General features: G+C 39.5%; 2 protein-coding genes across 15 annotated transcripts in view; both read left to right on the plus strand.

Moving 5' to 3' along the window:
- MGAM (maltase-glucoamylase) overlaps positions 1–10,211 on the plus strand; it is a 120,230-nt gene extending 110,019 nt beyond the window's left edge. For 11 of the 12 annotated variants that reach the window (XM_017012772.2, XM_047421011.1, XM_011516672.3 and 8 more), the window contains 6 exons: positions 1,057–1,113; positions 3,077–3,201; positions 4,266–4,354; positions 6,094–6,143; positions 6,733–6,903; positions 9,278–10,211. In XM_017012772.2, the coding sequence (XP_016868261.1) occupies positions 1,057–1,113; positions 3,077–3,201; positions 4,266–4,354; positions 6,094–6,143; positions 6,733–6,903; positions 9,278–9,355 (570 nt within the window). In that variant the 3' untranslated portion in view covers positions 9,356–10,211. Of the gene's footprint in view, positions 1–1,056; positions 1,114–3,076; positions 3,202–4,265; positions 4,355–6,093; positions 6,144–6,732; positions 6,904–9,277 lie in introns of those variants that run through there. The other variant, XM_047421013.1, reaches the window with a different exon arrangement.
- Positions 15,182–26,201, plus strand: part of MGAM2 (maltase-glucoamylase 2 (putative)) — a 110,607-nt gene continuing 99,587 nt past the window's right edge. For all 3 annotated transcript variants that reach the window (XR_927547.3, NM_001293626.2, XM_024446997.2), the window contains exons 1-3: positions 15,182–15,271; positions 20,338–20,443; positions 23,766–23,845. Coding sequence is in view for 2 of the 3 variants with exons in the window: in NM_001293626.2 (NP_001280555.1) it covers positions 20,338–20,443; positions 23,766–23,845 (186 nt within the window). In the remaining variant the exon portion in view is untranslated. The remainder of the gene's footprint in view (positions 15,272–20,337; positions 20,444–23,765; positions 23,846–26,201) is intronic.

The raw sequence follows: 26,201 nt of genomic DNA on the forward strand, positions 1-26,201 counted from the left end.
TCTTCCTCTCTTTCTGAGCTGAAGTCCATCACTTAGGTGTTCTTGGCCTCAGCTCCTTCATCTTTAAAATGAGCCTAACAATTCTGGTTCATAGGATGATCAAGAAGAAAACACCTCATGGTATATTCAATGACACAATCGTTTCTTCGTTAACTAAAATAAGGAATAGAAGATCAGATGGGGGCAGTATTGTAAAGAATTCATAACAGTCCTCTAGCACTATTACAACTTTTCAGAAGGATTGCTTGGCAATGTGTGTGTACTTGTATTGCTGCTGGCTAACCCTTCCCTTCCTCTGCAGGAGCTCCTCCCAGCAGTAAAAGCCATTTCTTTACTTCTATTGTTGATTAGGCTTCTGATTAAAATACCAGTTAATTGCACCTTCCCAAAATCTTTTTTTTTTTTTTTTTGAGACAGAGTCTCACTCTGTCATCCAGGCTGGAGTGCAGTGGTGCTATGTCAGCTCAGTGCAACCTCTGCCTCCCAGGTTCAAGTGATTCTCCTGCCTCAACCTGCCGAGTAGCTAGGACTACAGGCACGTGCCACCAGGCCCGGCCAATTTAAATTTTTTTTTTTATTTTTAGTAGAAACAGCATTCCACCATGTTAGTCAGGATGGTCTTGATCTCCTGACCTCATGATCCGCCTGACTCGGCCTCCCAAAGTGCTGAGATGACAGACGTGAGCCACCGTGTCCAGCCCGCAAATCTTATGGTACCCACAGAATTTTTTTCTGCCCCAGACACAACCTCAGTTGTTTGTCTCTTTAAGAGGGAATGGCGTAAGCCTATTTCTATAAGCAAATAGTGAATTTTTTTTTTTCCCGAAGTCCTGGGTACCAAAGTGCTTTATGAAAGCCACTTGTTTTGGGGTAGACAGATCTCTCCTGTTTGAAAAAGGAAAAGGGATGGAAGGTTTCCTCAATAGGTGACCTCCTGGGACATGAGGCAAGTGGGCCCAAGGCCATCACAATTATTTAACCTCTTTCCTAAGTATTTTGGTTTCTCTGTCCTGGAAAATGGTGCCACTGCCACACCTTGTTTATGTTTCATTTTAGAATGCCAGAAATGTCACTGCATATTTCCCTAGAGCCCGCTGGTATGATTACTACACGGTAAGTTTTTCTGAATGTTTATACAACACGGGAAAATGGTAGAGAGTACAAAGGCTTTAGATCTGATAGACCTTAGGTCAAATGCTGGCTCTGTAACCCACCTGCTGTGTGGTCTTAGAGAAGCCACTTTAACCCTTGTAACCTCGGTTTTCTCACCTCCAAGTGGAGTAAGACCACTTCCCTCATAGAACTGTTGTGAAATGACACATAAAGCATCTCACTCAGGTTTTTCGTGGGTGTTCTCTTTGTGTTAATTTTTAATATTTTCTTATATCACTGCTATTTACAATGTTTTGTAAAGGCAGATGCTTTTGAGATTGTGTTGCAAACTATAGTTTTTGTTTTTAATGTTTATATCTTTACCTGCTGTAAGTTTGTAAGCATAGAGGCCTTTTTGTCTCTGTCTTTTTATTAAATATCTCCTTCCATAGCATAGATGCTCAAAGAAGGGCACTGCACATAATTACCTAAGGTAAGCAAGTGATTAGGCAATGTGCAAAACACACACAGAGGTATGGGACCCAACCCTTGTGAGTCTAAGCAGTGCAAGTGCATTTAGAAATGAGGAAGCAATGAAGAGCTCCTTGCCGCATAGTTTCTGTGCTATTATGTTCCCCAAAGACTTATCTGGGAAGCCAGGGTCTTCCCGGGCAGCTCTGGGGTGGTGGGCTCTTGCTGGGACCCTGACAAGTCAGACCCTGATTCTTGGGGAAGAATCAAAGAAGGCATTTCCTTGGTCTCTAATGGGGCCTCTTCTGACTTTCTGAGGAGAACATCGTTGAGGGCTGGAAATACAGCAAAGGGGTACAAGCAGGGATACAGGAAGCAGAGCATGTGCTGGCCCCTTTCATCCAAGGGGATTGCAGTGAGATTAGGTGAAAACTGGAGAAGGATGTGCATTTTGTTCCTTCTCTTCTCAGTCCATTGGAGCCCAAGTCCTCTCCACAGCCCCAGACTCCTCTTCCTGCTGCTAGTCTGGATCTGCCCTTAGGGTGGTAACATGTTAAGGCTCTGCTATGTGTGTCCCAGCCAGGCGTTTCCCAGGAAGAGGTGGCCAGCTTTCTTTACGTGAGACTGGCCTTTGTCCTGAGTGTGCATGTTGAGTCTCCCATTCACTAACAGAAGATGTCTTTGGTTGAAGAGGAAAAGACAAAAGAAATCATGGAGCAAGCTATTTAGAAAAAGATGAAATTTTGATGTTTAATTAAAATGAAGATGAATTTCATAGTTAATATTAATGAAGAAGTGTCACCTTAATTAATCTTCCCAAGTTTGGGTAACTATTACTCATTCTAGAGCACAAGCTGGCAAAAACTATGGCCCACAGCCAAATCTGGTTGTTAGCTGATTTGCAAATAAAGTTTTATTGGAACACAGCCATGCATATTTGTTCGCTTGTTGTCAACAATAACTGCTTCTTACCTGTAAAGTAGCAGCTCTGAAATGAGAGGATTTTGCCTACCAGGGGACATTTGGCAATGCCTGGAGATATTTTTGGTTGTCACAACAGAGTGGGGGTGAGGAGGTGATGCGGCTGACATCCGAGGATTCTGCTAAATATCAAAAGGCACAGGATAGCCCCATCGCCAGAGAATTGTCTGGCCCCAAATCTCAATAGTGCTGAGACTGAAAAGCCCTGCTCTAGTTGAGAACATGTAGGATGGAAGCATGGTCCCTTAGGTTCTGATACAGGTGAGAGAGTAGCACCTCTTCCTGTCACACATCAGGCAAATGTAGTTTGTACAGTGGAAGCAAAGGCAAGAGACCCTAACAAGATATTATAGCAGCCTTGCAAGATTTCTTGCAGCACTGGGTGAATGCAGAATGGGTAATGGCAGGTATGTTGCAAAGGGTGATGAGCAGGCATAAGTTCAGAAGGGAGGATGAGATGTCTGGCAGGATGCATTGTTCAGGGAGGGGCCTGTCCTCTCCTTAGTCATCTCTTACCTTCTTCTGCCTCCAGGGTGTGGATATTAATGCAAGAGGAGAGTGGAAGACCTTGCCAGCCCCTCTTGACCACATTAATCTTCATGTCCGTGGGGGCTACATCCTGCCCTGGCAAGAGCCTGCACTGAACACCCACTTAAGGTAAGTGACAGGACTCAGGTTTTCCTTTACATGTCAGTTAGCTCAACAATTTGTAATGAAGTCCACCAAAATGTAAGCATCACTCTCAAACCCACATGCAATTCTACTCAACACTTGTTTTTTCTTTGTTTGCTTGTTTGTATTTTAACCTTTTTCAGACTCTATACTCTTCGACTAATTATTAACAGCTCTTTTATGTCTAAGTGGGTGAGTTGATAGGTCTAAGAGTGTCATCTTTCAATCTCACAATTGAAATGGAAGTCAAAATAGGAGCCACCACGATTCATAATAGTTTTAGTATACTATTGGGTCTGATTGAATATTTCCTAATAAAACTATTGCTGAAAAATTGTTTATTCCTCTACAAGATGTTAAAATTCTAGATCAAAGTCTATGTATAAATTAACCATAGCTAACATCCAGTGAGTGCTTGCCCTGTGCCTAGAACTATATGAATATGGGCATTTCCATGTGGAAATTATCTATTTTTTCTTAGCAAAAGGAAAACATAAATTCTGTGAGGTTAGTACTGTTACCACCATTTCATAGATGAGCAAAAAGGCTAAGTGATTTGCTCAGAGTCACACAGCTACTAAGTACATGAATGCGGACTAAAATTCACATCTCTCTGGTATCAATACTAACATTCTTAGACTCCCTATTCATTTGATTCTAAAGATTTAAATAAAAATGAAGAACTTAGGACATTTGAAAATAGAACTCCCTGTATATGTTTCAGATATTAGGTCACGAAAACAGATTTTCAGCATCAGGATTTTCCTTTCAAAAGGAAAAGAAAGAACCCAGTTAGTCTGGTTGTCATTATTTTAAGAGCCTTAAAGCAGAATCCTCTTGATTCATTCACTAATTCATTTGTTCATGATATGAAGTCATAGAGCCAGACAGAGACAGAATTAGAACTAAGACACAAGTCTCTTGAATTCTAGTATGCAGTCTTTATCCCCCAAAGCACTTCCCTTTGCTGCTTTATGTTTGTATGTAAAGTCTTGGTTTGTGGCTGTGGCTTTACTTTTAGCTAATGCCTCTCTGCCTGCTCACTGCAGCCGCCAGAAATTCATGGGCTTCAAAATTGCCTTGGATGATGAAGGAACTGCTGGGGGCTGGCTCTTCTGGGATGATGGGCAAAGCATTGGTGAGTAGAGGTTGCCTGAGATTCATGCTGATGGCACTGACTACATTCCTGGATTATCTTACAGGCCTGCTTTCACCTTTTCCCTATTATAACAATTTTGCATTTTAAAATATAATCATTTGTTAATTCAAGGGTATAATCCATATTGGACATGATCTTTATTCCTCATGTAAATGAAGCTCAGTTCTGAATCACCTCCCATTATGCAACCTTTGTAATCCACTATAGAAGGTAGCAATATGGGAGCCATGGGGAAAGTTTATTTGTAGCCAGCGGAGATAAACTTTCATAGGATTTATGGTCAAGGACACATTCCCGAATTACATGGTTTACTGTCCCAGTAAGAGGGGTAATACCTCTATCCGTTGTATTATTTATGGGATATTTTCTATTAGGAGTTTATAGGAATTGGTAAACTCTCAGGAGGATTGCTCAAGAAATTATTAGCTATTTCTAGACAAGTGCTATCCAATAGAACTTTCTGCAGTGATGACAATGTTCTATATCTTCTGCTGTTCAATATTGTATCTAGTAGGCATATGAGGCTATCGAGCATTTGAAATGTGTGACAAGTGCATCTGAAGAATTATATTTTTAATTTTATTCAATCTTAACAAGCTTAAATTTAAACGTGTTACATTTTACTAGTGACTGCTATCTTAGACAGCACAGTTCTAAGGGATAGCCAGTGGCAACTGACTGAGTGGTGAGTCATTTAGAAAAGGGCCAGCACAGTCGAGCTCAGTGCCTCACGCCTGTAATCCCAGCACTTTGAGAGGCCGAGGCAGCCGGATCACCTGAGGTTGGGAGTTCGAGATCAGCCTGACCAACATGCAGAAACCCCCTCTCTACTAAAAATACAAAAAAATTAGCTGGGCATGGTGGCACATGCCTGTAATCCCAGCTACTTGGGAGGCTGAGGTAGGAGAATTGCTTGTACCCGGGAGGCGGAGGTTGCAGTGAGCCGAGATCATGCCATTGCACTCCAGCCTGGGCAACAAGAGCGAAACTCTGTCTCAAAAAAAAAAAAGAAAGAAAGAAAGAAAAGAAAAGTGAAAGAAAAAGAAAGGGGCCAGCACACAGGAAAGAGTGTGACAGCCACGAGGGCAGGGTGTAGGATGGGAATACTTGAAACCAAGCTATTGACTAGTTCACCTTCACCGGCTGTGCTGAACTTCATATTCTTCCTAGGCCTGTGGCACACATTTAGGATAAAGGACAAAGAAGGCTTTTCTTTGATCATCTTTGTTCTCTGGAGATCACATTTTTAAATTTGCCTAATACCTCAAGATAAACCCACCAAGACACCAGTGTTGGTGTTTGCATATGTATATGCATATAAATGTGTGTGTGGAGATGTGTACATACAGCAAAAGAAACCTGGAAATTCTGAGCTGGTTAGGAAGATGCTGGGATGGTAGACCACAAGGAAGAGAAGTGACTTAAAAATGGTGTCAGGAAACTGTGTTATATGAAGTGACTCTGTCAGACAGATGTGTCTATACACATTCATTTCAAGCATTTTGTGTAAACTGAGTGTGGGTGCAGGGTTTGATTAGTCTCCATAAAGAGCACTTACATTTTAAAATAGAACACTCAAAAGACAGAAATAAAAACAAAGATAAGCCTTACTCTCTCAAACAAGACAAGTAGGCAATTAGAACAGCATTTATATATTCTATAGCATAGAGTTCTACAGCACAGGTCCAGGCCATGTTTATCTTGTTTTTTGTTTGCAGATACCTATGGGAAAGGACTCTATTACTTGGCCAGCTTTTCTGCCAGCCAGGTGAGTGTGATTGATATGAAGTGAGAATAGGGTTCCACTGGCTTAGGAGGGTGCTGAATATCGTAAGGGCATAAAATACCACCTAGAATTTCTTCATTGCTCATCTTGCTAATTCACATTCTTCTACTTCTCTAGACTTCCGGTGGAAATTTACTATGCTCCCAGGAGGCTTTCTGCAATTAAACCTATCCACATCTCATCAGTAATGATCATTATTCTAGTTTACCATGTTACAGGTGGACGGGCAGTTTCTGTTATCTAGCCCTTGTTCCTGAGTTGCCTTGGAATGGTCTGCACATTTTGGGATTCCTCCACCTGTAGAATATAAGTATCTTAACAGCTGAGACTTTTTGTCTCCTGTAGAGTTCAGGGCAGTGCGAAAGACCCTGTAGCTGCTTGTCAATGCAAAGTGGATGGGAGTTGGCAATAGGCCATAGAGTGATGAAATCATGATTTCCATGATCCAAAGTTACAAGATGGTGACTCTGAAGTTGTCTTACTTTATGACCTACATTTGTGCCTAAAAAGAGGTTAGAAAAATTTGAACTAATTCTGCTATTATATTTTTCTTTTATCTCCAATTCAACAGAATACGATGCAAAGCCATATAATTTTCAACAATTACATCACTGGTACAAATCCTTTGAAACTGGGCTACATTGAAATCTGGGGAGTGGGCAGTGTCCCCGTTACCAGTGTCAGCATCTCTGTGAGTGGCATGGTCATAACACCCTCCTTCAACAATGACCCCACGACACAGGTTTGTGACCAGCAAAAAGTGCGAATGGTATTCTCCACCCTTAATATGCCTAGTGCAGTGCCTGACTGCTTCCCTTCCAAATGATGCCCTCTCCTGCCAGGCCCTCCGGGAATCCCTGAGTTTTCCATGTGTTAGGAATGGACCACGTGGAGATGAATGAAAAATCATGGTTTATCATCATTTGGAATCCATGGCCTGGATTCTTACTTTCCATGTTTGTCTTCTTGTCTGCAAACCTATGTAAAACTTTGTCTTGACTCCCTCACCTCTGCCTCAGAGATCAACTTCCCAAACAGGTTGGAACTATCATATTTTATCAAATATGATACCATCAGTGAAAATTGCTTCATTATTTCATGTGCCACAAAGAAAGAAAAAAGGATGACAAAACTATGATAGAATGCTTCCTTATCACTCAATTTTTTTTTTTTTTTTGAGACGGAGTCTCACTCTGTTGCCCAGGCTGGAGTGCAGTGGCATGTGATCTCAGCTCACTGCAAGCTCTGCCTCCCAGGTTCATGCCATTCTTCTGCCTCCCAAGTAGCTGTGACTGCAGGCGTCTGCCACTATGCCCGGCTAATTTTTTGTATTTTTAGTAGAGACAGGTTTTCACTGTGTTAGCCAGGATGGTCTCGATCTCCTGACCCTGTGATCCGCCTGCCTTGGCCTCCCAAAGTGCTGAGATTACAGGCGTGAGCCACTGTGCCCAGCCTCAGATTTTTATAATAAACTTATAGAAAGTTTTTGAAACTTCTTTAGCCATAAAGTTTTACCTATATATTTCAATATTGTAAGTGATAATATGGAGGAAAATGTTGAGTGGAGATACATTGATGATTCTGCCTCAACGTAATTTAAAAGAGGTAGACCCTAAATGTGAAGAAGCACTAGAAATAGCTTAACCAACTTGTATCGTATTTAAATTGTACTATTTAAATTCATATTAAACTGTTTTATTATTTAGTTTATTGTATTTATTATTATTTAGAAGAAAAATATGTGTTACAAATTGGTTAAGATATTTCCTCTGTACTGCAAAAGGTGTTGGTGATTCAGCATTTTATAAAAATTCTTCCACTAGTGTCTATGAAGTTTTTTTCCTGAGCCACTAACACACTTTATATACATTTTCATCCTAGTGCTTTCTTGATCTTACTAAATATTCCTTCCTGTAATAATCCTTAAATGTTTTCAGCCCATCCATTCATAACACAGTAATAGCAATGAAGCTTACACAGGCACAGACAATAACAATTATGCCATGAGTGCTGCTTGGCTCACAGTAATTCTATGGTTGTCGATTACAAGACACGCTCTTGTCAGATGAATGTTAAATATGTGAAAAATCTGTACCTTGGGATTAATGCTGTGTAGTGGTCCTGACACTTATCATCCCGATGGTAAATGAAACTTTCTTCCTTGTGTGCTTACTTATTATTTTTTTTCCTGAACTTTTTTCTTTCATAATCCTTCCTGATGATTAAGCCTGAAACAAAAGTTTTCTTTCAGTTTTGCATTCTTTACAGTTATTTCCTCATACTTGTGGTTTTCTTGTCAACAACTTCCCCAACTATACCATAAAGGACTTTGCCCAATCCTGTTGCTGACCAGCTCAGGGACAGACATGCAAGCTGATGAGGGCACATGCAGTGAAAGCTTCTTGACAGCATCTGCCTAGGAAGAAGCAGGAATAGTGGACTCTTGCTGGGCAAACACTGGGGTGCTATAGTGGAATAGGAGAAGGAGGAAACAGAAGGATGGTGCCAAGGAAAATCAACACCTCAGTAGAATGGAAAAGAGGGCATTCTCTCCAGTTTGTGCAGTTGTTTCTCTTCAGCGGTTGCATATTGAACATTTTTTTTTTTTTTGACTGAGTCTCACTCTGTTGCCTAGGCTGAAGTACACTGGTGCAATCTTAGCTCACTGCAGTCTCCGCCTCCCAAGTTCAAGTGATTCTCCTGGCTTAGCCTCCCTAGTAGCTGGGATTACAGGCACCTGCCACCACGCCTGGCTAATTTTTGTATTTTTATTAGAGCTGGGGTTTCACCATGTTGGCCAGGCTGGTCTCAAACTCCTGACCTCAAATGATCCACCCACCTGGGCCTCCCGGAGTGTTGGGATTACCGGCGTGAGCCACCGCACCCGGCCCATATTGAATTATTTAAAGGCCCATCTCTACCACTGAATAATCTTTGTACTCTAAAAAATTAGAAAACACCCTTCTCATCTGAAACTTTGAAGGCAGTCTTTTAACTAGACAATACAATGTAGAAGTATTAGGGGGTTATTTGGACTGGATACTTGCACCTGATTTATTTGCATGCAGGAAATTTCAACACCGGATGCCCAATTCTTTTCCTTTGGTTCCTAACAGGTATTAAGCATCGATGTGACTGACAGAAACATCAGCCTACATAATTTTACTTCATTGACGTGGATAAGCACTCTGTGAATTTTTACAGCAAGATTCTAACTAACTATGAATGACTTTGAAACTACTTATACTTCATACTCATAAAAATTATTGTGTGTTGCTAATTTGTTCATACCCACTATTGGTGAAATATTTCTGTTAATTTTGTTATATGTTTTTTGTGTGAACCCTAAAGGTTAAACCTTAGCCCTGTGGGATAGGCAGTTAGGGAGGTGTGGAAAATCTATGCATTACCTTAATGTCTCTGTGTGGTTAGTATGGTAGTGACTGTTCATCATATGACATTTACTGAAGATGAACTGGGTCCATGATGAAGTGTGTGTATGTCCACGTTTGTAATCATAGAATGGACCCCATTCTTTTGTTAAATACACAAGAGAAAGCTTTCTGTGACAGTTCCAGGTCTTGAAGCTAATCAGCATCTCAAGAAAGTATCCAGAAAGAACATCTGCTAGTTGGTTATAGGCGGTGGGAGGAATAATATACCTAATTGGTTATAGGTGGGGGGAGCATGATAAGCAAAGAAAAGGCAAACACAAGGAAAGATCAGATGAAACAGAAGATGATAGTAAAAGTGATCCTAAGTAAGAACATAATGTAAAATTGTCAGCAGCCTCATGGGGAGGAAAAAGGAAGAGTCAACTCACTTGAAGAAGAGGGTCTTGAGAAATCCTTAGCATAAAGGGCTACTGGTGAGATTGAGATCTGAGCAGGCAAAGCTCAAAAGAGAGTTTGGAGGTTAAAAATAATTTATTTTTGCAGTAGTGTGCTTTGAAATGTGTAAATCTTATTTCTAATGTATACAACCACATTTCACATAAAAATATGCAATTTATATGCCAGATAAAAATAAAACAAGTGAATTTGCAAGTGATTTTGAATTTTGTGCTATTTTGACCATGAGTAATCTCTGTTTGGGGTTAAGGTTCTTGTTTAGCAAACTCTTATGAATTTGTCTTTCTGGTTCTCTTCGGCATCACAGAACCTACAGCCAAATCCACCAATAGGATGATAACCTTTATAATTATCCTTTTTCTTACATCTCTGCAAGGAGTCTTTTATAAGATGTGGGTTTGTGGAAGGGTCTATTGATTACTATTTTAATCATCATAGCAGTTGCTATATTTAGGAAAATACCAACTCCAGTAAAAATAGGAGTTGCAACCTTCTTGCTTAAAATTCTATAGGGTTAAAATGTGAGATAAGGAAATTATATATTAATGTTCAACAGGAATATTAACTTTTGATGTTACCTGAAAATGAGTTGAAAATGAATGTGTGTGGAATGAATGAACCTACTTCTCTGTGTTTTCTTCTTTTCTTATAACCAGGAAGCCATTCATTCTCCCTGCACACTCATGTGTCAGCACCTGCATAAGGCTAGAGACAAACAATATTGTTAAATCATCTAATTATCACAATACGGGGCATTTGGATGAGGGCCTGAGCTAACTAGGAAACTGGTGAAATATGGAAAAGCAGCCATGGGAATCCTTTGATCAAAAAGGTGGGAAACTTGTCAGCTTTCCTCTAACAAACTCAGGAAGGCCACAAAGATGAAAACGTTATTTACTTGATATTTAAAAAATATTTAATGTTACCATCAAGGATATGTTGGTGGAATTTGGCTCTGGCTGCCACAGAATGCTTAAGGAGAGGCATTCTGACTATATAATTCTGATGGCTAAGGCCCTAGTGAGGCCAGTGGGGTTTTGGAGCACACGAAGTGTCAGGGACCCCACTGACAGCCTAGTGAAACCTACGGAATTCTTCCTCACAACATTGTTTTTAAATGCATCAAGCAAAATGCATGCTATTTCAAAGAAAACTTATCATATTACGATACACTTATCCAAATATTAAAGATGATATAGTAACCCATGAGATGTGTTTTTTTCATTATCAAATTAAATGAAAAGATCCAACAGTGGAAGTAACAATGCTATAATTTCAATGTAATGATCAACATCAACAATATTTTGAGATATCCACTACAATTTCATAATGTAATATGGAAAGATCTGTGATTGCATTATTGACAAACTCATGTGCTATGAAAACTACTGTGTTTTGTTGTCTACATTCATAACCTAACAAAATGCTAAATTTCAGCCAGAAATGTGTGAAAAAGAGATTATCTGTTGGAACCAATATGGCTTACCGGAGTTAACGCAGAAAGAGCTTGCTGACGTCACAGCCTGAATTTCCACCACAGGTTCTTACTAACTCCCTCCCAAATTTGCACATGAGACCCATGATGAGGCATGAAGAGATAACTGTGCATGCCTGAGGACTTTCTAGATTTCCTCTTTCTTTTACCAATCACCTGCTAATCCCAGAATCCACCCCCTAAGTCTTTTCTGATAAAAATACTTCCTTAAAGCCAGCACAGGAAGACAGGTTTGAGCTGGACTCCTGTGTCCTGTGAGTCGACTTTGCAATAAAAGCTTTTCTTCGAAACCCTTTATCAGAGTATTGGCTTCTAGCGCATCGAAGAGTGAGCCCTTTCGCTCAATAATACCCCCAGAGGTTGTTCCTCAGATCACAGTCTGAGAACCACCTCTCATGGAACCATATCCATTTGTGGCCATCCCAGAGCAGCCCCTACAACATGGACCTATGCTTACAACTCCTGGCCAGCTATTCAGGAAGAGGCTGGGGGCCTTCCTTTTCCACATATGCTCTGTTTTTTAGATCACATAATTTTGCTTTCTTCATAGGTGTGCCAAAATAAAAAAAAAAACACTCTCAAACTCTTTCACTTAAATAGGAAGACATCTATTCCTTTCTTATTAATGTTATAACATTAAATGTCATATATACCTGCAAAGATAAGGTTATGTTGGCCGTGGCAGATGTCTTCAAGATCTCATCAATATTTCTTTGTTCTTGTCATAGCGGCAGAGTCACTGAGAGTTTTGCATCTGGCCTTGGAGAAAGGTGTTCTGGAAGTTAAGGGTGACTCATATTACTAGTTTCTGATCTGATGATTCCAACCAGCAGCTTGCTGTGACAACTGTTTGAGTTCCGCCAATAGCTAACTTTGCCGTGCCTTGTTACCGATAGACAACTGGAAGATGTCGGGTCACGTGCCTGTCTCTACCCTTCAAAGTGGCTCTGTTATTTTCTCATTGGTCAACACCAGTATGGTGATTCAATATCTTCCAGTTACTAGTTAGCAAGAATGGAAGGTGAAGGTAGCTATTTTCTGCACTTTAGGAAACAGGTTATAGATTAGCTGGGCCTGTTGGTTACCACTATTAACATAAATGAAGTCACAAATGTGCATGGCATGTGGGGAGTTAAAGGTAAAATATCACACAAAAAATAGATCTTATGTAACAATAAAATCTCCCTTCTTGACCTTTTGCCAGGATGTCTTCCCAATTTGAAATGAGATCTTGGTACATTTCCCCTCTAACAAAGGCCACCTTGTACTGGGGCAAATGAAAAGCTGAATATGTCATTCCAGCAGTTCATAAATGCAGAAACCGAGTCTCTCTTTCTCTCTCTCTCTCTCTGTCCCTCCCTCTCTCTCTCTCACTTTCTCTCTCTCTCTCCGTGTGTGTGTGTATGTGTGCTTTTCCACATACTGAGCATTTGAAGCAAACACAAAAGATTCACTACTGTGAACACTGTTATTTACAGTTCTTAGGTGCCACCAAAAGAGCTCTCTGTACCCTCATATATTACTGGCAGGAATGGGGGTGTAAAATGGTGCTGCCACATTAGAAAGCAGTTTTGCAGTTCTTCAAAAAGTTAAAGACTTGTCACATGACCCATGATTCCACTCCTAGGTATATTCCAGGCAGAATTTTAAAACGTGTCAGCTCATAGCAGCATCGTTCATAACAGGCAAAAAGTATCAACAACCTAGATGTATATCAGCTGATACATGCCTAAACAAAATGTGGTCTATCCACGCAGTGGATACTATCCAGACATGGAAAGGAACAGACACTGATACCTGAAATGGTGTGGATGAACTTTGAAAATATCATGCCAAGTAAAAGAAGCCAGACACAGATGGCCACATATTGTATTACTGCATTTATATGAAATGTTCACAATAGGCAAATCCATAAGGACAGAAAGTAGGTTAGTGGCTGCAGAAACAGGGGGAGATGGGAATGGGGAGTGACCACTAATTATTTTTGGGGGTGGCAAAAATGTTCTGGAATTAGATAGTGGTGATAGTTTCAGAATTTTGTAAATATATTTTTAAAAACACTGAATTGTATACTTTAAAAGAGTGAATCTTATGGTTTGGAAATTATATGTCAATTTAAAAATCCACTTTAGCTGGCTTAAGAAAAATTTTAAAAAGATATTGGTGACTCATTGAAACTCCGGTAGGACTAGAGAGTCAGGTTTGTAGGCCATGTGGCTAGGGACAAGCCCCAGGTTACCCTGTAGCGGTTTCTACTGCCACTGCCCTGAGCACATATCTGGCAGCTCGCAACCCCAAATACTGAGCATAGGATGCCACTAGGTCTCTTGTCCCTGCTGCCTCTGAAACGAGCTATGCTTCCAACATCCTGGATTTTACATGGTACCTCCTTATCTACACCTTCTTCTGGATGTAAGTCACTCACAGGAATATCTCATTCACAAAGCTCCAGCCACTTGCCTCTACCTTGGATGAAAGAAAGGCTGTGAAAGAGAATTTCTAGCTGTTTCTTTGGGGAGGCAGAATTTGGAGAAAAAGTCCTTAAGTTGATTTAAGTAAGAGGTTTTCTTTTTCTTTTTAAAGAAAGATCCTCCGTTTTTAAATTTTTTTCAACTTTTATTTTAGATTCAGGGTCTAAGATTCAGGGTGCATATACAGGTTCATTTCAAGGGTATATTGTGTGATGCTGAGGTTTGGGGTGTGATTGAACCTGTCACCTAGGTAGTGAGTATAGTACCCAATAGGTAGTGTTACTACCTTTGTCTCCCTCCCCACCTCCCCCATCTTAGCAAGAGGTTTTGAAAGATGCTGAGCCATCGAAGAACATGACAAATGTCCACTAGAGGCATCTTCCCACTTTAGGTTTGTATACATTCTTTCTCTTTTATTTTTTTTGAGATGGAGTTTTGCTCTCGTTGTCCAGGCTGGAGTGCAATAGGGCAATCTCAACTCACTGCCAGCTCCACCTCCTGAGTTCAAGCGATTCTCCTGCCTCAGCCTCCTGGGTAGCTGGGATTACAGCCGCCTGCCACCATGCCTGGCTGTGCAGATGGGGTTTCACCACGTTGGCCAGGCTGGTCTCAAACTCCTGACCTCAGGTGATCCGCCCACCTCGGCCTCCCAACGTGCTGGGATTACAGGTGTGAGCCACTGCACCTGGACGGGTTTGTATAATTGCTACTTTAATGGTACTTCACTATTTAGAATAATTGGTGGAAAGGATCATTTGAATTAATGAAAAGCTGAGTTATACCAAGAGAACTCTGGAGGATGAAAATGGAGAAAAGAACAAAGTGATGAACTAAGAGCTAATCCTTCTTTCACTTACTTATTAAATAAATAGCTATATATTTAAAAAGAACTATGGATATTGGGCAGAGTGCTAAGCACAGGAGATACAACAGTGAAGAAGATAGACAAGACCCTAGCTCTTGAGCCCTTTAGGCTACATGTATAGATGAGGAAACATAACGTGACAAGTAATCAGATATGAACAGGGATACAGAAGAGGGACAATGAGTAGAAAAAAAACCACCTTCCCCTTTTATTAACAAAAGGAGCTTTCATTCTGTGTCACATGGAGAACAAGCGTTCTTTTATGACCTATTGGAATATGCACTCCCCTCCTCCAGTTGCTGTCAACTTTATAAGGCAATAAATTAATTGTGGCAGAAGCTGGCTACCTCAGCCCAGTTACCTTTGCTCAGTGCTCCCTATGAATTGCTGAGGGAGAGATACAGCATAGAAAAAAACAAGGTGATGCGGTGAGTACGCTTCTCCATGCAAGCAGGGCTTTGAACAAGGGCAGGAAGGTCCCTTTCTTTTTGTGTGATTTTCTGTCTGCTGCTCTGTTAAGTGATCTGGATGCCCATGTTTTCCTTCTGGACTTAATATTTTCTTCCTTTTCCATAAAATATGAGGAGTGAGGATGAGATAGTTGATGGAGAGGAGAGACTGTGTGTGTGTGTGTGTGTGTGTGTGTGTGTGTGTGTGTGTGTGTGGTGTCAGTGTTTGGAGGACAGGTTGGGGGAGGTCTGGTGTGAGATCCTCCTCTCTCACTGGGAGAAATTAAGGACAGAGGAAACAGATGGGATCCTTCTGGAAACTATCTCAAGATGGCATGGATTTGGAGGAAGGTGAATTCCTCCCAGCTTTGGGCAGGAAGGGTTTCTAAGTAGGCAAGAATTTCTACCTTTAGGAATCCCCATCCTGTCCTCTGCCTGAATGACAATAGCTCCTAAGGCAGGAAAATACCCAGGGTTATTCCCAGAGCGTTCCTGTACTTCCTGAGCTAAGGTGCTGAACCTGCTCCCTCAGGAGGATTGAGGAGCTGTGGAGTAGGTCCCTGCTGCTGATTTTTAGAAGCTAGAAAGAAAAAAGTCTCCCTGTGGAGAGAAATAATACTTGCAGAAAGAGACCAATTGATGAATAATGCCTTTGCTGTGGTATTGAGTTGTGGGCTGTATGTATAAGAAACGAAGTTTGATACCATAGCACTCTTAGGGTAGGTCCTTCCTACTTCTTTCTCTACCTGAAATTCCACCATTGGAGACCGATCCTCTAAGTCTTTAAGCTCTGCAGCCTAGGATACATTGTCGAGAGAGTATTCAAGTACTATTTTAAAAAGTAGCGGCTCTCGGTGTTTGTCTCAGTTCCACCACTAACCGTGACTAGACAAAATTTCTTAATATTCATCTATAAAATGGAAATCATGATATCTGTCTGATCAGCTTCAATGCAGGGATTTTATGAGAATACAGTCATATGATATATATTTTATAGGGATTAGAGTATATCTTTTAAATAATTTAGACTAAAAGAGAGACAACTGATTAATTTAGGTAAATAGTAAAGAATAGTTAATAAACCTCAATTTTAATCCCAAACCTCGTGTCTCCAAGGGCTAAGGGTTCTTCCTAAATGCCTGTTGGCAAATTACCTGTAGGTCCTAGTTCCTTACCTCTATTTCAATATTAAAGTGCTTCTTTTATGGAATTATTACACATTAACCTAAAGGCTACTGTAATTAAAAATTGAAGCTATATACCTATATAAAAATATTTGTAGAAATGGTCGTGGCATTGGGGAGGAGTTGAGAAGAGCAGGGAGGCAGGGAAATGAAAAGTAAGAGGAGATGCAAAATCAACATAAAAATAAGAGAGAGAACAGTCTTTGTCCCTGCTGACTTATATTTAATAGCTTGTTGCTGCATAAGTGCTGGTTTAGTATGGTGGGAATATGGGGAGAGGAGACGCTGAGCAGCTGGGGTTAGGACGTGCCATGAAGACCTTTGATCACAAAGCTAAAGGGTTTTTGGTTTATTCAGAGATCCATTAAAGGCTTGAATATAGGAGATCCAAATGACCCTGTTTGTGCTGGTCACTTGGGTAATGACCCAAAGATACCGGGAAAGTAGTCTGACTGAACTGTTAACTGGCTGTGAGAACTAACAGAATGAGAGGAATTAAAAAAAGATTCCTAGGTTTTTTTTTTATAATGTGATTCTATTCCTCAAGTTATTAATTATTTGAAGAACAGATAATTTGGCCAAATTGGCAGGAACTGGGAGTGAGGTGTGGGGAGAGATGATTTCATGTTTAAACATGTTAAATCTTATTGAATCTGTGGGACATCCAATAGGCAGTTGAATATATGAATCTAAATCCCTGGGCTAGAAATACAGGTTGGATTGCCATCACATGTCATATAAAGTCACATGAGTGGTGGAGATTACCCAACGTGTCTGCGTAGTTTAAAAAAGAAGCCTATACCAGAATTTGGGGGGCATCAACATTTAATGAAATAGGGCTGAGCGTGGTGCCTCACGCAGGTAATCCTAGCATTTTGGGAGGCCAAGGCGGGCGGATCACCTGAGGTTAGGAGTTCAAGACCAACCTGGCCAACATGGTGAAACCCTGTCTCTACAAAAATATAAAAATTAGCTGGGCATGATGGCGGGTGCCTGTAGTCCTAGCTACTCGCGGGGCTGAGGCGGGAGAATCACTTGAACCTGGGTGGCGGAGGTTGCGGTGAGCCGAGATCGCGCCACTGCACTCCAGCCAGGGCAACAGAGCGAGACTCCATCTCAAAAAAAGAAAGAAAGAAAGAAGGAAAGAAAGAAAGAAAGAAAGAAAGAAAGAAAGAAAGAAAGAAAGAAAGAAAGAAAGAAAGAGAGAAAGAAAGAAAGAAATAGGAGACTACAAAGAATATTGAAGATAAGCCAGAAATAGAGGTGGAAAGCCAAGATTCCTATCAAGGAATCCATATGTGGAAAGTTTCATGGAGGAGAAAGTGGTTAAGTGATTAAGACAGCGCCCATTGTATTCAGCCACTATGTCACTAGTAACCTCGGTGGGAGCATTTCCAGTGGAATGCAGAAAACACAGCCAAGCCAATAACACATGAGGAAGGGAATACAGAAAGTGTGGAACTATCGTTTTGGAAGATTGGCACTGGAAAGAAAAAGAATGTTATTATGCTACCTGCAGAAGCACACAGAGTCATTAACAGAGTTTGGGGTGACTTGGGGTATATTTATGAAGGAAAGATATTCAGAGAGTGAATTTGATAATGCAAGACAATAAGAGATAATTGGTGGAATGAAATTTTTGAGAAATTCAACAGCTGTGAGATCTAGATAACAGATACAAGGATTATGCTTAAACAAGAAGAGGAAAAACTGTTTCATTGAGAATAGAGGGGGAAAAATAAGAATTTACCTAGATGTGAATAACCTTTGTGGAAACGCTTGGGTTGAGAAGCAGAGAGAGAGAATAGTTTCTGCAAAATCATTATTTTTTGGGTGATATCAGAGATGATACTGCATGAGAATAAGAGTGTAGGTAATAGAGTCAGGCCTGAAAAGAAGGATAGAAGGAACAATTTTTTAAATTACAGGCACGGTGGCTCATGCTGTAATCCCAGCACTTTGGGAGGCCGAGGTAAGTGGATCATTTAAGGTCAGGAGTTCGAGACTAGCCTGGCCAACGTGGTGAAATCCTATCTCTACTAAAAATACAAAAAGTTAGCCACACGTAGTGGCATGCACTTGTAGTCCCAGCTACTCAGGAAGCTGAGGCAGGATAATCCCTTGAACCTGGGAGGTGGAGGTTGCAGTGAGTTGAGATTGCGCCACTGCACTCCAGGGTGACACTCCGTCTGCAAAAAAATAAAATAAAATAAAAATAAAATTACTGCTGCGAAAAGTGAGAGGCACTGTCAAGACCATCAGTCGGCTTGCAGGCCCAGTTTATTTAGGAGATTATGAGCCTCGGTGGCATCTCCCTTGAGTTACGTGCGGCAGCACAGAAGGCAGATGTTTGGATGGATAGTTTCATCCTGCAGATTCTGTTAGCAGATAGAGAGCGAGGAAGATGAGAGCAATGGCAAGTTAAATAATCAATACTGAGGCCTAGGTCAGTTAGGGTTAACAGCTAGGAAGGGCTAAGAGATTAAAAGGAAATGGAAAGATAACAGCTGCCTTGATGTGATAAGATACTTTTTTAAAATAAAGTAAGGCAGGCTGGGTGCTGTGGCTCATGCCTGTAATCCCAGCACTTTGGGAGGCCAAGGTGGGCAGATCAGCTGAGATCAGGAGTTCGAGACCAGCCTGACCAACATGAAGAAACCTTGTCTCTACTAAAGATACAAAATTAGCAGGGCATGGTGACGCATGCCTGTAATCCCAGCTACTCGGGAGGCTGAGGCAGGAGAATTGGGTGAACCCAGGAGGCAGATGTTTCGGTGAGGCGAGATCGTGCCATTGCACTCCAGCTGGGCAACAAGAGTGAAACTCCATCTCAAAATATATAAATAAATAAATAAATAAAATAAAGTCAGACAATGAGACAGTAAAAGGACATTGCTCATTTGCATATGGATTTACAATTTCAAAAGTGTAACAGTTCTGGGGATGATAAATTCCAGGGGCTAGCAAACATTTGAGGATGATGGAGATGGAATGGCGAAGAAGGCATTGCAGCTGAGGGCTGTCATGGATCTGTAGACATGTAATAATGTTAGATTTACTATAATTAGAGCAGAAAAATGAGAACACATCCAGTGTCTGATGTCATTTTTGTAGATGAAGAAATACAGGTCCAAATAGGTAAATAGCCCATCTGTTAGTAAGAAAATCAGGACAAGAATTCAACCCCTTTGATTCCCAGTTCAGTACATCCTCCAATATAGAAAATATTTTAAATCTTGGGTCAATAAATGATCTTCGGGGTTACTGGGAGCCACGAAATTTATGTGAGTTGTTTGCTGTGAACCTCCCAGCAAGACTTATGCTGGGTATCAGGATCATTTTTGTTACCAGATCCTTGAGAGTGTCAGTGACGTTTAAACAGTCTCAACAGTGACTTCAGCATCATGTCCAGGGCAGTTGAAAGAAGAAGACTTGGATTCCAGTTTTGCTACTTTCTCTCTCCCTGAGCATACCTTCCTGTCTACTACATTAGGTGGATGTGAAGATCAAAGTGAAATCTAAAGGGTTTTGTGAGCTACCTCAGCCCCTCATCTCTCTTCTGTGTGTTATTCCACAACATTTTCCCTTCAGTTCTTCATGTCTGATATACTTTTCCTTGGACAATCCTCAGTTCCTCTACATGCAAAAAAGGCAAGAGCTCTACAGGTGTTGGATGTAAAGCTAGAGTTAATTAGGGACACTGATAAGTGGAAACAAATATTCTTTAGATTATGTAAAGAGGATGCTGATAATCAAGGTCATCTTGCAAACAATTCCACATTTGGATACAATGATTATGTATCCTCTTAGATTGGTGGGGCCTTGTGATTTGTTTTAACCCAATTATCTGTGTCTATCTAGATGGCGAGGAAGCTCAGTGTATTGGAAGTCCTTCTGATCATCTTCTGCTTAATTGTGGTGACCATAGATATCCTCTTGCTGCTTCTTGTGTTGGAGGAAACTTCAGGTAAGGGAGATGCTTGTAGGTTGGAAGGCTGGGTAAAGGAAGTCTCCTGTAAACGCCAAAGAGATTATTTTATTCTTTTACTTTTCAATATGCCACTACATTGCAGTATTCAAAATTCACTTCCATGATTAGTTTAAGTTCAACTCCAAAAGATAAGTGTTCTTTTTCTGCACTGAAACCTTGAATGTTAGTGACATTTAGGGTCTCCCAAGCCCCATTTAGTGCAATTTTAACAAGATGCAAAATTAGGCTCACCAGATGCCTGCCCTTCAACCCAGAGTCATGAAGTCGTACTGCCTTCAATGAGAAAGGACTGTTAAGCTAACAGTGCCCAGCCCCATTATATTATGGAAAAGGAAACTAAGGTTACAGGGAGGTGGTGGGATGATTAAGTTGGCCTGGTTATACCAACATACATAGCTATAGTTTCTTCATAGGTGCCTTTGAAACCGTTCTGTCTGTCTGTCTCTCTCTCAGGCACCCAGAAGCATCAAACAGAATGCCTTCTCTTTCACGCACATATTATAATTTAAATAATAAAATGTGTGTAGTTCAAAAATGTATTTTCAGTTAAAGCTGAATTTGGGCTTTGTTCTGCTTGACAAGCTCACTTTACAGATGTGAATTGAACCTACAGTGAAAAGAAGCTGTCCTGATGGCAGAACCCTACCTGCTCCATCTCTTTTCACCTCTCTCCACAGTAAACATTAAGACACTTTCTAGGAACTATTACAACTTTGAAAGATGATCTGAAAACCATTGATATAAGCCATTTTGAGATTATTCCTACTTCTCCCCTCTAACACATTTTTCGGGTAACAAGTCTCCTGAGATTGCTATCCAGTGTATATGACTAATTGGTTTATTTTATTTGATATAAAACTAGATCTTCACACCTGCATTCACCTTAAACCACATTCTGATTTATGCAGAGTAGTTCTGCTTTCAACTGTTTTTTTTTCTTCTGTTTTTTTTTTGAAGATGTATTTCCATGGGTTGAAAGGGGGGCTTTAAAATCAATTTGTTTTTATTGTGGTAAGAACAGAACAGAACATCTACCCTCTTACTGGATTTTTAAGTGTATAATACAGTATTGTTATCTATTGAAACAATGTTGTACATCAGATTTCTGGAACTTATTCATCTCGCATAACTGAAATGTTATACTGGGGATTAGCAACTCCGCACTCCCTCTTCCCCCTAACTCCTGACAACTACCATTCTCTTCTTTGCTTCTGTGAATTTGACTATTTTAAATAATTTATGTAAGTGGACTCCCAGAGTATTTATCCTTTTGTGACTGGCTTAATTCACTTTGCATAATGTCCTCAAGGTTCATCCATGTTGTTGCATATTGCAGGAATCCAGTTTTAAGACAATTTTTTATTGAAATATATATATATGTACACAAACAAATGTAGAGCCGTAAAGATAGTGATAGTGAATATATTTGGGGGCTTTGTTTTGAATCAAAACGAAAGCACTAAGGGGCACCTGCTAATACCCACGGTAACTGTTTCCTCCAAATTCTGCTGAAATTCTGGATTTTAGATGGTTCATGGAGTCCATGAACCAGTCCTACTTCTGCTGTTGTCATGGGGAGAAGATTCCACAAAGTTGATAAAGCCTAAAGTAAGAATAGCCAATGTTGAGTGAAGATGTGTATTTCCAATGGGGCCAATAATATCTTCCTGATATGTAGCCTGAGCCCTCTGGTGTCTTTAAGCAGCTGTGCCTACAAATAAGAGACTAAAGAAAAAACAGTAAGAAAAAAGACTTTCCCAGCGATTTATTCAGGGCTTCCCTGGTAACAACAACAAAAAAATGTTGGATCTCTACCTGACAACATATATAAACATTGACTCAAAATTGATCAAAGACTTAATATAAGAGCTAAAACTATAAAACTCTAGGAACATGTAAATAAAAATGTCTGTGACCTTGGATTAGATAACAGTTTCTTAGATGATACCCAAAGCACAGCAAACAAAGAAAAAAATAGGCAAATTGGACTTCATCAAAATTGAAAAAAACTTTGTGCTTTGAAGCACACTTTGAAGAAAACTATCAAGAATGTGAAAAACAATCCACAGATTCAGGGAACATACCTGCAGATGATGTATCCGATGTTAGGCCCTTATCAGATATATCATTTGCAGATATATTTCTTTTTACATCCTAAGATAATACATTGGAATATAAGAGAATATATTCTCTTAGGATGTATAAAGAAATACTACAAATCCAAATTTAAAAAAAAAAGGTTTCTAAATGAGTAAAACATTTAAATAGACATTTCTCCCAAGGAAATCTATAAATGGCCACTAAACCCATGAAAGTATATTCAACATCATTGGTTATTTGGGAAGCGCAAGTCAAAACAATAACATATCACTTTCACACCCACTATGATGACTATAATTAAAAACAGATAAAAACAAGTGTTGTTGAGGTTACAGAGAAACTGGCTTCTACATGGCTAAGATGGTGTGGTTACTTTGGAAAACTTTGCCAGTTCCTCGAAAAGCTACAGATAGAGTTAACCACATGACCTAACAATTCCACTTCTAGGTATATAACCAAGAAAACTGAAAACATAGCTCACAGAGAAACTTACGCGAATGCTCATAGCAGGATTATGTATAATGGTCAAAAAGTAGAAACAACCCAAATGTACATGAACCGATGAATAGATAAACAAAATGTGGTATATCCACACACAAAAAATGTGATTCAGCCATTAAAAGCAATGAAGCACTGATACATACTACAACATGGATTAACCTGCAAAACCTTATGCCAGGTGAAAGGAGCCAGGCACAAAAGGCCACACATTTTATGATTCTTTTTATAGGAAATGTTCAGAATAGGCAAATCCATAGTGATAGAAAATAGATGAGTGTTTGCCAGGGATTGGGAGAACAGGGGAATAGAAGATAGCTGCTAAAGTGTATGTTATTTCTTTTTGGAGTGATGAAATCGTTCTGGAATTCGACAGCGGTCACAGGTTGTACAACTTCATAACTAAAAACCATTGACATATACTTTAAGAGGATGAATTTTGTGGTATATAAATTGTATCTGTTTAAAAAGCAAACAAAGTAGAAATAAACGTGTTTAAACTTGGAGAAGTGTTAAACATCATGTGCAAATATAGATACCAGTTTGGAGAAGTGTTAAACATTGTATGCAAATGTAGATACCAGCTACCGGTGATCTGTTGTGTGGAGAATTGGCCAAAAGTCTGTAACTTTGCTGGCTTCCTTCCTGGAGCTGTGATTACACTACACATTTTCAACTTTATCCTTTAATTCCTATGCAGATACTTCATTTACTCCAGAGTGCCCAGAGATTCCCCAGTCGGAAAGGATAGACTGCACACCTGACCAGGAGGTGACCGAGGTCAGAGAAATAAGGTCCCTTTTGGTGGCCTACAGGGTGTTATTGAAAAGAAATGAATATGTGAAGTGGGGAAAGGGTGGGGGTGGCATGGCTTCTGGGCCTCTGATTTGTTTGGAGTTCTTTCTTTCTTATCTTATTGAAATAACAATATTAAGATCGTGAGGGAAGCAGGGTTGAAAAAAAGGAAGAGTAGGAAAAGCTAACAAGAATGTTAATCTGTGGATTATAAAGTCCAAGGTGGAGGGCGATTACAGGTGTTACTAAATGTACCTTAGGTGTGATTCCAAGGATAGTGGTAGAAAGGTTAAATGTTTGTGGGCTAGACTATGTATTCTTTGAGAATAGAGGCCATTAAGCACATGCAAATAGGGAAATCCATAGTGATAGAAAATAGATTAGCATTTACCTGAGTCACTGGCTGAGTCACCTACGGAACTCAGGCAAATTGTTACAAGAGCCCTCTGGATTATGTTATTGGCAATAGAGGTCCCAATGGATACGTGCTAAGGAACACAGGTTTTCTCCCAGAGTAGCTTCCATAAAATATCAGCGACTTGAACCCTGATTAGTTGTGACTTAGGACTTTTTCATAAAGGTTGTATGTATTTATATATTTAAATTTTATTTCTTGGCCCCATATTCTAAATTCTATATCTTCTTGAGATATTAATTAGGACAGTATTGAATTTTAGGTTAAAGTTTAAACAATATTCACATTTTGATAGTTTTGAATCTTCTTGTTATAAAAACATAGAAAGTGTCTCCATTTCAGTTCTTTTCATATATACATATATTTCTTTCTTTTCTTTTTTTTGAGACAGAGTCTCACCTTGTCTCCTGGCTGGAGTGCAGTGGCGCGGATCTTGGCTCACTGCAACCTCTGCCTCCCAGGTTCAAGCAATTCTTGTGCCTCAGCCTCCCGAGGAGCTGGGATTACAGGCACCTGCCACCATGCCCAGCTAAATTTTGTATTTTTAGTAGAGGCAGGGTTTCACCGTGTTGGCCAGGAGGCCTCAAACTCCTGACCCCAGGTGATCCACCTGCCTCAGCCTCCCAAAATGCTGGGCTTACAGGTGTGAGCCACTACGCCCGGCCCATATATGCATATATTTATTTCTTAACTGAGTTTTATGTTTCTCTTATATGTTTTATTGCATGTGAATTATGATGTTTTCCCTACGTATTTCACATCCTTGGTTTCTACTGTAAATATAATCCATTATATTTTGTAAGTTGTGCTTCTTTTATTATAATGCTTCTTTTCTTACTATTATTTTATTTTTATATTTATTATTTTTACTTTATATTATGTTTACACAGTATATTTATATTCTATTTATTATATAATTGATCAAGTTAAATCTCATATTGTTTATAAAAAATGTTTTGTAGTCCCTCCTCTGGATATTAAGTATAGAATTATATTATAGGAAAATAAGGATAATTTTTCTTTGTATTAATATTATCTTATACATTCATATGTCTAATCGTATTGTCTATTTCTTCCAGAATAATGTAATTAAAGTGATGATGGTTGGCAACCCTTATTTTATGCTTGACTTTAATGGAAATTTGGGCAAAGTATCAAGCACAAAGTTAGCTATTGGCTTAAGAGAATTGTTTTATTGATATATGTTAGGAACCATCTTTATATTCTTATTTTAACTTTTTTTTAAAAGAAATGGAAAATGGATTTTTTCCAACAATTTAGTATTGAACTTTGCAAACAAGTTTACAATAATACTCATTACCTCCCACTTAAATTTCACCATTAATATTTTACTTTGCCTTCTCGTATTTATCACTTATCCCACACTTCATTCATCTATTAATCTATCTGATTTCTATGGATTTGAAAGTAAGTTCTAGAAACCAGTTCACTTTTTCATAAATTTCTCACCAAGTATATTATTAGCTACAGTCCAAAGTTTGATTATAGTTATTTATCTTCAGATATTACACTTATATACAATGCAAATACAAAGAGTTGTTATTAATACATTTTGCACGATTCTTTGGCACACATTTGTTGAATTATGGCAAATGACTACACATGTGTAAGCCAAACCATTCTATACCCAAAGATACAGAATGTTACCATCACTTCAGAAAGTTATCTTATGACATTTCCCAATAGTTATTCCGACTTGTACCCCTTAACAGGTAATCACTGATATGATTTATCTCCACCTTAGTTTAGTTTTGCTTGTTGCAGAACTTCATATGAATGGAATCACATAGCGTAGTGTAAAGCCTCTTTCATTCAGCACATTTTTGAGATTCATCTTTATTGTTGCAAATATTAGATAATTCTTTGTACCACTGAGTGATATTCCATTGTATGAGTATGCCATAG

Source organism: Homo sapiens, chromosome 7 (genome assembly GCF_000001405.40).
Source record: "Homo sapiens chromosome 7, GRCh38.p14 Primary Assembly".
Classification (NCBI taxonomy): domain Eukaryota; kingdom Metazoa; phylum Chordata; class Mammalia; order Primates; family Hominidae; genus Homo; species Homo sapiens.